Here is a 12,461-nt window from a genome sequence, read left to right as displayed (position 1 = left end):
TATTTTTTCTAAACATTAGAAACCAAAAGATTTAGTAAAGTTGGTCAGACATTGATGCTGCACACCAAGGTCTATCTGAACAATTGACAGAGCTGGATTCCAGAAAGTTTAATTAGTAAGGGGATGTAGGGGAAAATCCAACATCCTTCCCAGGGAACGGTGCTGTGTTAATTCACTCCTAGGATCCCCTACCTATTACCCTCAGAATAAATCCTTGGCTTGCTTGCTGCCTGGAAGAGAAATCATGCAGGTGTTTCAGAGCATTAAGGAAGTTATTTCTTCCTCATGTTCACTCCGAGGTCAAGGACAAGAATGCTAGCTTTGGCGTTGGGAGGACCTCAGTTCAGTTCCCAGCCTGAACTTAAGTCTTGCACTGCAGTATAAAACAAGTGTTTTACTTTTCACTTCATCACATTATTGGATTTGATTATGTGGATAATCAGGGCTGCTCCAGAGCATATTTGCAGGGCAGTCTACGCAGTAAGCCATACATGGCAGCTCTGCAAAACCGGCACAGCAGACAGTGGTGTGAAGTCCACCCAGCAAAGCTCCCTCTCTTTCCCCATTCCCCATTCTGTTCCAGCTCAATGCAGGAAGTGTATGAAATTCACCCCCTATAAGCCAGGCCCTGTGCTGGGTGCTAGGAGTAGAGCTACAATGAAGTCAAGATTCCTGCTGCCCAGAGACTTCCACTCTAATAAGAGAGACACAGGGAAGTAAACATAATCTCAGTGAGGTATGAGGCATGCCATTAGAGGCATGTAGAAGAATGGAAACTGCACAGAGGAGTGTGAAGTTAAGTGTCTTAGAGAGGGGTAAAAAGACTTGCAGAGAAGTGATACATAAACCAAGTTTTGGAAGACGAACAGAAACAGTGAAAATGATAGAGTGAGCAGAGGGGAAGAGCTCATAGAAAGGGATAGAGTACGAATCAGAGGATCCCTGGGCTCTTTCAGGAATGTGGCTACTCACTTATTATGTCACCAGCACAGCTCACCAACTCGGACATATGGAGGAACAGCTCCTCTCACCTGCTCCCTGCTTGTGCCTCCATGGGTCTCTGACCCCCTTAGCTTAGGCCTCCTGCTCCTAATTCTGGCCTCCAGGCCCATGGCCCCAGTAACATGTTTTGGATCCATTTCCCTGGCCTTGACCTTCTGGACTCTTTTGGGCATAATCCACTCTACGATCGGCAACTGTGAATGAGAAACCCTCTTCCTTCCACCCTGCCCTGTGGTGTCCCAAAGGCCAGGCCAGCCCAGCTTCCCCAACAGTGACCAGATGCATACAAGGATCTGTAAGTGTCTCATGGAGCTAGATTACCACACATGAGTGGCAGTAGACATGGTTCCAGAAGCAGACAGGACACCAGTCCGATTCTGGCTAAGGAGTCCTGCAGACATGGGGAGCCACTGAAGGGCCTGATGCTGGGGACTGGCAAATTCTGAGTTGCCTTCCCAGGGGCTGCTCCAGAGAAGACAGGGTGGATGTATTGGAGAGAGAAGTACTAGGAGCAAAGAAAAAAAAATGCATGGAAGACCATTGCACTAGTTGAGCAAGACGTTGAGTAGGAGACAAAGTCAGGCTTCCCTGCCTTTTGTGGCTAAGACAATCATGGACCTCCCTGAAGGCAGGGGCAGAACAGACCTGAGGTCCCCCTCACTCTCTCTCGTGATTCTGATTGTTATTGAAAGCTGCCTCCTACCACATCACTATCATCATTCCTCCCCCGATTCTCTACCTCCTGCTTCTTTTCCTCCTCCTCCTATTCCTCCTCCTCTTCTTCCTCCTCTCGTCTCTCTCCCTCCCTCTGTCCCTGCTTCTTCTTCCTCCTCATCCTCCTTCATCTTCTTTCTCTCTCTCCCTAAAGCAATATGCCTTGCCTCCTGCCTCTAGCTCAAGCTGCCAGACAAGACAAAATGGAAAAGTAAGACAGAAAAGGAAGTCTGAACTATAAAAAGCCAGCTGAAGAGCAATCAGCACGTGTCTGGGAGAGGCAGACGCGACAGGAGGAGCTCGGCCTTACCACTGTCAATCAGAGGTTCCTGAGTAAGGAGACCTGACAAAGGTTTGGGCCTTCAGGAGTCTGGAAACCCTGGGATGCTCAACAACAACAACAACAAAAAACAACAACTTTTGTCATGGATTTCATCACCTAGGATCCTGGAGGAGGAAATCACAGCTCTCCCCAGCGATCCCGCCAGGCAGATGGTGGGAAATAGAGATCCATTGAATAGCACCCACAGGCTCATGTTCCGGCTTCCCTTGTGACCACCTGCCACCTCCACTGTGGCCCAGAACCATCTTCAGTGACTCTCCACAGGTCACAGCAACCTGTTTACAGACGGCTAGAATTCCCAAGCACTTTTAGGACAGGGGACTCGGGATGGTTCCAAGCAGACAGCAAAGTCTTCTCTAAGAGAAGCCGCTCCTCCCGATCTATTTTTGCCGATGTAAACACTTGCCAAGGAAACGAGGCATGTGGGCATGCGCCGGCCCTGCAGGCCCTCGGGTTGCTGCAAAAGGCAACTGGAAAGTCACATGTCATAACAGTGGAAAGTACATATGCAACTATTCTTAGCCCTGGAATGTATACACTGTCTCCCTGCCCAGCAGTCCTTGCACAAAGCTCTAGAAAACTATGAAAGTGCCTTCAGCATAAACAAATCCAGAAATCTCCCAGGACAAATCATTTGCCAACTGAAAGAAAGGCCTGGGGTTTATGGTTTCCCTTGGAGCTAGAGGTAGAAACTCTCCGGGGGGATAAGTCAGACCAGGCACCAGTGGATGTCACCGCAGCAAAACAAGGTAAGTGTCCCTCATACTTATTTCTTCTGCAAGTAGAAAACCAGGTGTCATCCAATAAACCAGGGGATTGTTTGGTCTTTCCTTTTATTTATTCTATCTTTAAAACAAGACTCAATGAAGTCATATTTAAATATATGCATCAAAGGTCCATTTTCTTCCCTCATTTCTGTCCAGTGACCAGAGGGCCACACCTCCAGAATATCATCCTTGGGGAATGATTGACACCCAGAAAGAGAGGTTTAGACATCTGTTACTCAATAACAGATATGCCATCGATCTGGAAAAAGGCTCATGAACTTCTGCTGGTCAAATCCATGGACTGTTATCTTGCTTCAGACTAACATTTCAGCTTCTGATAACAGAGTAACTTCCAACAACTTTAGTTTGTTTGTTTGGTTGTTTCTCTCAGATTAGCTGAAGATACTATTTGCCTATTACTTTTGAAAATAACCATAACCCAAAAGGGCTCAGGTCTGAGATGTATGTGGCCTTCCTTTCCAATCTTCCCTACACAATATCCATGGTGACATCCGCAAACATCATGGGGAATGGAATAGGAGCACTGGTCTTGGAGTCCCCACAGCTGAACCCTCCAGCACATGCAGCTGAGAAAGGTTTGACTCTTGCTGACTCTGGGGGCTTCCTTCCCTCTTTGTAGGATGGACGAGGAGTCACTAGATGGGCTGCTCTTCAAAGACCACGACTTCTCTTCTGACTTGTTGAGGCAGCTCAACAGCTTAAGGCAAAGCAGGATCCTGACTGATGTGAGCATCTGTGCCGGTGCCCGGGAGATCCCCTGCCACCGCAACGTGCTGGCCTCCAGCAGCCCCTACTTCAGGGCTATGTTCTGCAGCAGCTTCCGGGAGAAGAGTGAAGCCAAAGTGCAGCTGAAAGGCATTGACCCCCCAACCCTGGACCAGATCGTCTCCTACGTGTATACGGGGGAGGCACATATTGCCACTGACAATGTCCTCCCCGTGATGGAGGCCGCCTCCATGCTACAGTTCCCCAAGCTGTTTGAGGCCTGCTCCTCGTACTTGCAGAGCCAGTTGGCCCCCAGCAACTGCCTGGGTATGATCAGACTCTCAGAAATCTTAAGCTGCGAGACCCTCAAGAAGAAAGCCAGGGAGGTGGCACTGACGTCCTTCCCAGAGGTGGCCGCATCGGCCGACCTGAAGGAGCTCTGTGCCTTGGAGTTGAGGGACTATCTCGGAGATGATGGGCTCTGTGGGGAGGAGGAAAAGGTGTTTGAGGCCCTCATGGTTTGGATCAAGCATGACCTCCAGGCCCGGAAGCGATACATGCAGGAACTGTTCAAGCAGGTCAGGCTGCAGTACATCCACCCAGCCTTCTTTCACCACTTCATCGCCAACGATGCCCTCCTGCAGTCCTCGCCTGCATGCCAGATCATCTTGGAGACCGCCAAGAGACAGATGTTCTCTTTGTGTGGCACCACCGTCCCAGACTGCAAACTCCTGTTGCATGTCCCTCCAAGAAACTCTTACCAAGATTTCCTCATCCTCTTGGGCGGAAGGAAGGACAGCCAGCAGACCACCAGGGACGTCCTACTGTACAGCAAACAGACCGGCCAATGGCAGAGCCTTGCCAAACTCCCGACACGGCTGTACAAGGCCTCTGCCATCACCTTGCACCGCAGCATCTATGTGCTGGGGGGCATGGCTGTCAGCTCAGGGAGGAGTCTGGTCAGTCACAATGTCTACATCTTCTCCCTGAAACTCAATCAGTGGAGGCTGGGGGAGCCCATGCTGGTGGCCCGCTACTCCCACAGAAGCACTGCCCATAAGAACTTCATCTTCTCCATCGGGGGGATTGGAGAAGGGCAGGAGCTCATGGGCTCCATGGAAAGGTATGACAGCATCTGCAATGTCTGGGAGAGTATGGCCAGCATGCCCGTGGGGGTGCTCCACCCCGCAGTCGCTGTGAAAGACCAAAGACTCTATCTCTTTGGAGGAGAGGACATCATGCAGAACCCTGTGCGCCTTATCCAGGTAAATGGCCGGTTCTTCCCATCACGTAACTGCATGAGTATGTGTGCTTGGACACACCCACACCTGCTTGCACACACATGCACATGTATACATACACACCAAAAAACACATATATGCACATAAATATATATATGCACACATATACACAAACACACATATGCATACATGCGTGCACACATATATGCAGAAATGTATATTCATGCATACATGCATACACATATGCACACATATATGCAGATGCCAACATGCATACGTGTGCACATGCATACACATATACAATTCATGCATGCATACACACATTTACATATATCTACACATGCATGCACACATTTATACATATGCACGAACACAAATACGTACATGCATACATGCACACACATGTGCACCCATGTACACACATACCAACACTTGTTATTTGCAAGGAAGGAAGAGAGGAAGGGAGGGAGGGAAGAAGGATTTTCAGCAAGATATTTTTCAATTTATGAATTTTTTTGTGCAAAAATAATACATAACAAAGGATATCAAATACCATCCCTATGCACAGAGTTTATCTTCATTTGATGAGAAAAATATATATCTAAAAATTCAAGTTATTATACAGCATATTGAAAGTCAGATAGTGAAGTCCCATAGGAATTTGGCAGGTGCTTCTAACTCAAGTCAGTAAGGCCTTAAAAGAAGATTCCCAAGCCTTGGTCCACACCTCTGTGACCAAATCCCCTGGAACCTGACCTCACATCACTGAATCAAAATATCTTTGTGTGAGATCCTAAAATGTATGGTTTACAAAAGTCCCCAGGAGACTCTAAGTTGCAGCCAGGTTGGGAAACCCCTACTTTTAATGATCGGCAGACATTAATTTCACTAACAAGCTGTCTGAGAAGTATGCTCAATAAAGGCCACATTTCAGAATATTAAGTGTTTTCCAGCTTTATGCAAGTTCCTGGTAATCTCTGCAGAACGTGAATATTGAGCCTGCCTTTACAGACAATCAGAAGCATCCACGAGATGTACTTTGCTCATCTATGAGAGTTATGTTGAACATCAACCATTGTGAAGGGCCTGGAGACCCAGCAATTTACACATAACCCTCAGTTGCAATTCAGACGCTGAAGAGAGGGGTGCTCTAAGAGCACAGGCGGGATGCCCTAAACCAGTCTAGAGCAAGCTTGCCCAACACGCATACAGCCCAAGACAGCTTTGAATGCGGCCCAACACAAATTCATAAACTTTAAAACATGATGAGATTTTTTTTAGCGATTTTTTTTAGCTCATCAGCTATCATTTGTGTTAGTGTGCTTTATGTGTGACCCAAGACAACTCTCCTTCCAATGTGGCCCAGGGAAGCCAAAAGATTGGACACCGCTGGTCCAGAGAGAATCAGAGAGAGTGCCAGGGTTAAGGGAATGTTGGAGCAAACCCTGTGAAGTTGGCTGAAGCTGACTTGAGCAGAGGGGCAGGAGAGGAGAGAGGAAGGTGGGGATGGAGAATAAAAGAGGAGGGGGAGGGGTGGGGTGGGTGCTAAGAAAGCATGTAAGGGAAGATCCGACTTAGAGGGAGATGCAGGAAGCTCCTGCACCTCCTGAAGCCGGAGTCAGAGTTCTCTCTTGAGGGAGGGGGAGTGGTCCTGGGTAAGGGAGCAGCTCACATGAAGGCCCTGAAGCACAAACAGGTGCAGCCCATGGCCCTGGGCAGCGGAAAGCAGGACAATGGAGTTGCAAGACAGAGCAAAGAGGAGAAGGGCAGTGTGCAGAGGGGTGGCTAGGGGCGGGCATCAGTCCTCATGCAATCTCCATCAGCCCCCTTCTCAGGCTACCGGGAGCAACCTCCTCCGCCCACATCGCAACCCCTGAGCCCCTCCTAGAAAAATCCTGGAACCTTCTTGAGGGATGGATATCTGTGGAGATGAGGTTGGCCTGGCTGGGCTTTCTAGGCCTTGTCAAAGAATTGGGATTAGCCTGAGAGGAACAGAACTTCATTGAAGGCTTTCAAGAAAGGTGAATGAGGTAAAACACATTCACATTTTTAGAAGTTCCATCTGGATGCCTTGTAGAGAAGGGATTGGAGGGGGCCTGAGTGGACAAAGGGGAGAACTGGGAGACTCTTCTAGAGTTCCAGGCAAGGGTGGTGATGGCTTGGACTCGGTCAGTTCCAGTGAAGATTTTTTTCTTGCCTTCACTTCTCCAGCCATTATTTTCAGCTCCTCCCTGACCATCCAGGCAGATTCCGAGTCTTTCTAGAATCGCTGTTCCAAATCCCACTCCTCTACTTGAAGTGGGGGAGACATTCTGCTCCCCTCCAGGCTCTGACCACACCAGACAGATAACAAAGTGCTTCCATGTCAAGCTGGAGCCCCTCCTTCTTTTCTATTTTTCAAAACAGTCAACAAATACGTTCATTATTTCACATTGCAAAACTGCCATTGACCTTCTGAGAATAAAACTCAGAGTTTAAGCTTCAAGCTAGCATATCAAGAAATGTATAGTACCATCAAACAAGATGTTGCCAAGCCAAGAAAATATTAAACCTCTGAGGGATCCTTTTGCATTTCAGGATTAAGAAGACAGAGAAGGGGAAAAGTATTCATTTGGATGCTTTTCTTATCTACTTTGCACTAGCTTTGAAATAAACATTCTACTCATTCGAATATAGTTTAAAATGAATGCTGGGAGTCACTTGATGGAGCAGGTTGGATTTTCAGGCACTGGTTGAGAGTTTTCTTCATAGGCTTGTTCATCTGTGTGTGTGCGTTCTTTTCAGAACTACACTGCCATGGGGTTACGATGCAAATCGCACTGTACCTGTACCTTTCCACCTGGCCTTCTCTCTACCTGTTTCTGGATGGCATTAAGCAAATCCTTTACCATAACAAAATATCGCTTCCTTGACTGGTCAAAGATCATCCTTTGTTATCCTTGCCCCAGCCTCTTTGGGGTATTATGAGCATGGTGAGCAAATGTTTAATCTATTTTTAAAGCCATACCCAAAGCTGAAGGAGAACAGAAAGGCCAGGAGGCAATTATTCATTCAAGTAAAATGCAACCAGTGTTTGCTTTTCTTCCAAGGATCCCACTTTCCAGAGAGTTTGTCACTTACATATTTTCCGATGAAACGGCCATTGTGACCTTCCCTTCCTCTAGCACTTGGCCTCTTCCAGGATTCACTGACTTCTTGAAGGACAGACAGAGACCTCACGAGGTCTCCAGTCTCAAAAGCCTTCATCAGGAAAGGCCACAGTTTCATGGCTCCAGACAGAGCCATGAGTGTGGTGGTGAAGAGCATGGATTCTGGGCTTGGTCAGAGCAGCTCTCCCACTCACTGTAGTTGTATGACCCTGGGCATGTCATTTGACCTCTCAGAGCCTCAATGTTCTAAACTGAAAGATGGAAGAAATAATAATACCTACCTCATAGGATGGTTATGAAGATCAAATTTAGTAAACTGATTTTTTAGACATCTTTAATAGTGCTGGTAATCTTACCTTATTTTATTTTTTGAGAAGGAGTTTCGCTCTGTCACCCAGGCTAGAGTGCAGTGGTGTGATCTCAACTCACTGCAACCTCCACCTCCAGGGCTCTAGTGATCCTCCCACCTCAGCCTCCTGAGTAGCTGGAACTACAGGCATGCACTACCACACGCAGCTAATTTTTTTTGTATTTTTAGTAGAGATGGGGTTTCACCATGTTGGCCAGACTGGTCTCAAACTCCTGACCTCCATGATCCACCCACCTTGGCCTCCCAAAGTGCTGAGATTACAGGCGTGAGCCACCGCACCCGGCCTCGTAATTTTATTTTATAGGAAAAGACTTTCTAGCAAAGAATACTATGCCATTTTCCTCTGTAGATAAATGCTCTTGTTCCTTCTTTGCTTATATGAAATTCATCCTATATCTCTTGTGCTAAATTTTGCCCATAATGAACTAATTTACATTTGATATTCAGATTTAAAACTGAGGACACTCACAGGAGAACATGTTTCGGGGGTGTTGATTTGACACACTGTTTCAAAGCATGGCAAAAGAGCCTGCTCTCTTCTCTTTGGTCTTTCTCCCCTTTCTCTGCTGCATTTTTCTAGGACTGTAATGACTTTCGGGCATGAACGGTTCAAAAACCTTCCTCACTTAGCCTCAGATTTATTCTTGGCTCTATGACCTTCTTGGATAAACCAGAACATTTAGAAATTTAAACAGGAGCTAGAAATAAAAAATGATCAGAAAATCATTGGTTTTCTGAATACCCAAGTTTCTTCATTTCTCATTAAAAGAAAAACATGTTCCAAGCAAGGTAAGTAAAACCCATATTACAATGCAAAACTCTTGATCTATTCTATAGAATTACAGCCAGTGAGTTCCTGGGGGTCACAATAAGATCAATTTTTAATCATATACTTCTTCCTGTTTTTCAGTACTGTTTTGTTTATTAACAATAGCTACATTTTTAAAACTGGAAAAAAGCAGACAGAAAAATCTCACTCCTAGTTCACCCTCGTAATTACTACTTCTGTCTTTTTTCAAGAATATTTCACTTTAAAATGCAGTGCCATGATTCTCTCTCTCCCTCAGGTTTATCACATTTCCAGAAACTCGTGGTTCAAAATGGAGACAAGAATGATCAAGAACGTGTGTGCCCCTGCAGTGGTGCTTGGGGAGCGGATTGTCATTGTGGGAGGTGAGTCTGAACAGAGGATCACTGGGCGTGACACAAACTTGGCACCTTCTATGGAAAAAAGGTCACTCATAGACAGATGTTATTCTACAAGACTGTCTTTTCAAAAGCACATCCAACCAACCAGAAGAGCGTGGAGAATCTGACAAAACTCTCTCCTCATCCAGAAGTTTTTCCCTGTCTTTATCTGTAAACAAGGGATGAAATAATACCTATCTCACAGAGCTGTCGTGATAATTAATGTACTCGTGTATCTAAAGCACTTAGCACTATCCCAGATACACGGTAAATAAAACATGTTTGCTTCTGCTTATAATATTAGCTACTAATAGTTTGTTTCTCTGTAATCAAATCATAGTGTCATGGTTAAGAGGACTGGTATTGGGGTCAGATGGAACTGGGCTCAAATCCTGGCTCTGTCACTAACTGGCTATATACTTTTTAGCAAGTTAAACATCTTTCTGTGCCTCAGTTTGTCCATCCATAAAACGAGGATCCTAAAAGTAACTACCAGATAGGACTGGTGTGGGGAACCCACTTCTGAGTTTCCAAAGGATTGTCATAGTTCTTGAGTGGGCATTTGAGAGAGGAAGAGGCCAATGAGGCTGAGAAAGTTACAGGAATCAGGAGGCCGCTCCCAATCTAAGAATGGCTTATATGCTGCCTTAACTTGGGGTGAAGGTCAGAGTCAGGCAGATTTGCGTGCCAGCCCCCACTCTGCCACAAAGCAGGCCTTGGCAGGTTAGCTCAACATCCCACGTGCTAGTTCAGAGCCCCAGCCTCAGCCTTACGCAGTGGCAGGAGTCAGACGCGTCCCAGGACTGCTGACCTCCAGTCCCAGATGAGCAACACTGAGCTTGCCCATGTGTCATTTGGTTTTCAGGTTACACAAGGAGGATTCTTGCTTATGACCCTCAATCCAACAAATTTGTCAAATGTGCGGACATGAAAGACCGGAGGATGCACCATGGGGCCACAGTGATGGGAAACAAACTCTACGTGACGGGCGGGCGGCGGCTGACCACGGACTGCAACATTGAGGACTCCGCCTCCTTCGATTGCTACGACCCCGAGACGGACACCTGGACATCCCAGGGACAGCTGCCGCACAAGCTCTTTGACCATGCCTGCCTCACTCTCCAGTGCATACCCCGCACGTCTGGCCTCCCATGAGGTCGACAAGAAACCTTCTGCCCTAGTCAAAATGCCTTCTGTCGCCAGGGACACAAACCCAGCTCCAAAGGGCTTAACCCTTAAAGGCTGCAGGGAGAGCTCACAAGACTGAGGTACCAGAGTCGGGAGGCCTGGAACTAGGCATTGCATTGCCAGAACTCTCTCTCTCCTTCTCTGCCTCTCTCCTTATCTCTCTCCCCCACCTCCATCTGTCTCTGTCTTTCCCCCTTCTTTCTTTCTCTCCCCTATCTCTGTCTGTCTCTCTCTCTCTCTCTCTCTCTCTCTCTCTTTTTCTTTTTTTTGAGATGGAGTTTCACTCTGTAGCCCAGGCTGGAGTGCAGTGGTGCTATCTCAGCTCACTGAAACCCCCACCTCCCAGGTTCAAGCGATTCTCACGCCTCAGCCTCCTGAGTAGCTGGGATTATAGGCATGTGCCACCAAGTCCAGCTAATTTTTGCGTTTTAGTAAAGACAGGGTTTCACTATGTTGGCCAGGCTGGTCACGAACTCCTGGTCTCAAGTGATCCACCGGCCTCAGCCTCCCAAATGCTGAGATTACAGGCGTGAGCCACCACGCCTGGCCTGTCTCCTTTCTGTCTCAGTTTCTGTCTCTCTTCTCTCTCTCTGTCTGTCTCCCCCTCTCTGCTTCTCTCTCTTCTCTGTCTCTCTGCCTCTCTCTGCCCCTCTCTCTCTCTCTCTCTCTCAGTCTCCCCTCTGTCTTCCTCTCTCTCATCCCTAGGTTTTCCTCTCTCTCTAGCAATCTTCTTCATTTACCCACACAGTGTGTGGACAATGACAAATGATAAACCCAGACTCATTTTCCAGCTTTATATCTTCAGGAGAGAACTTTGCCATTATCCATATATTAAACCTAAAAAACAATGCTTATGGGCCTCTTTTGAATTCCATGTCTACCTCTTGAGCCAATCACTGTTGCCAGGACTGGCTAGTCCTGGACCACATCCCCACAGACAGAGGTGGGGTTACCTGTTGTCACTGACAGCCCATCCAAACTGCATATAATGGGTTAGAAGCATTTCCCCAAAGAGAGAAATCCAGACAAAAACCACATCTGCCCAGGACACCACTGAAATCTGGAACAAGAGGGCTGAGAGAACCCAGAGGATTCCTGGAACTGCTTGGTCCAGGTGGCAGCGTGAGAAATTGGCCCTGACCTTGTTTTTCTGCATTCTATGGATGTAGTACATTGAAATTCCAGAGATATATGCACAATTCAGTATCTAATGTTTGTAAAATTATCCTGCATTGCCAGAATAAAGTTTGTTTCTGGTGCCAAATGATGTTTTTCTGCAGCCTCTGGGGAGCTATAAACCTGCATAATTAATCAGGATGTTCATTTTGGTCAGTGTTATGAGGATTGCTCTTCTGGGGAAAGTCAACAAATTCCTTCAGTGCTTACAGCAGTCATTGCCCTCAGATGCCAGGGCTGACTATCTCTATAGCTCCCGTTATCTCAAGGTGCCTCCCACACTGGCTCAGTCCCAAACACAGGAATAAGCTGAAGTGGAGAACAGCAGTTCTCAGCGCTGCCTGCACAACACAGTCATCTGGGAAGATGTTTGAAAATGGGGCCAGCTCCATTGGAGAAAAATGAATAGGGATGCTTTGAGGCTGGGGGCAGAACACTGTATTTTTTGAAAAGCTTCCCAGATTTTTGAAATGTACAGTCAGGGTCGAGAACCACCGCTCTGGTCAGCTGTGAGCACGGAAGACCTGCATGGCTGGTTTCATTCCCCTCCTGTCATGGTCAGCCCGTCTGAGCCTAACAATGTAAGCTAAGTCCTCT

The 12,461-nt window shown here is 47.0% G+C and overlaps 1 protein-coding gene across 2 annotated transcripts; it reads left to right on the top strand.

Annotated features, from left to right (window-relative positions):
* Positions 1-2,592: 2,592 nt before the first annotated feature.
* On the top strand, positions 2,593-11,952 carry KLHL38 (kelch like family member 38). Of its 2 annotated transcripts, none has more exons than NM_001081675.3 (4): positions 2,593-2,808; positions 3,467-4,817; positions 9,380-9,485; positions 10,366-11,952. In NM_001081675.3, exons 2-4 carry the CDS (start codon positions 3,468-3,470, stop codon positions 10,653-10,655), a joined length of 1,746 nt encoding a protein of 581 aa, NP_001075144.2. In that variant the 5' UTR covers positions 2,593-2,808; position 3,467; the 3' UTR covers positions 10,656-11,952. The 2 variants fall into 2 exon arrangements, with proteins under 2 accessions (NP_001075144.2, XP_047277700.1); XM_047421744.1 differs by having other exon boundaries at positions 2,983-4,817.
* The last annotated feature ends 509 nt before the right edge of the window (positions 11,953-12,461 follow it).

The sequence above is a fragment of the Homo sapiens genome, chromosome 8 (assembly GCF_000001405.40).
Source record: "Homo sapiens chromosome 8, GRCh38.p14 Primary Assembly".
Lineage (NCBI taxonomy): Eukaryota > Metazoa > Chordata > Mammalia > Primates > Hominidae > Homo > Homo sapiens.
Note: the sequence above shows the minus strand (reverse complement) of the source record. Positions and strands in the feature narration are given on the sequence as shown.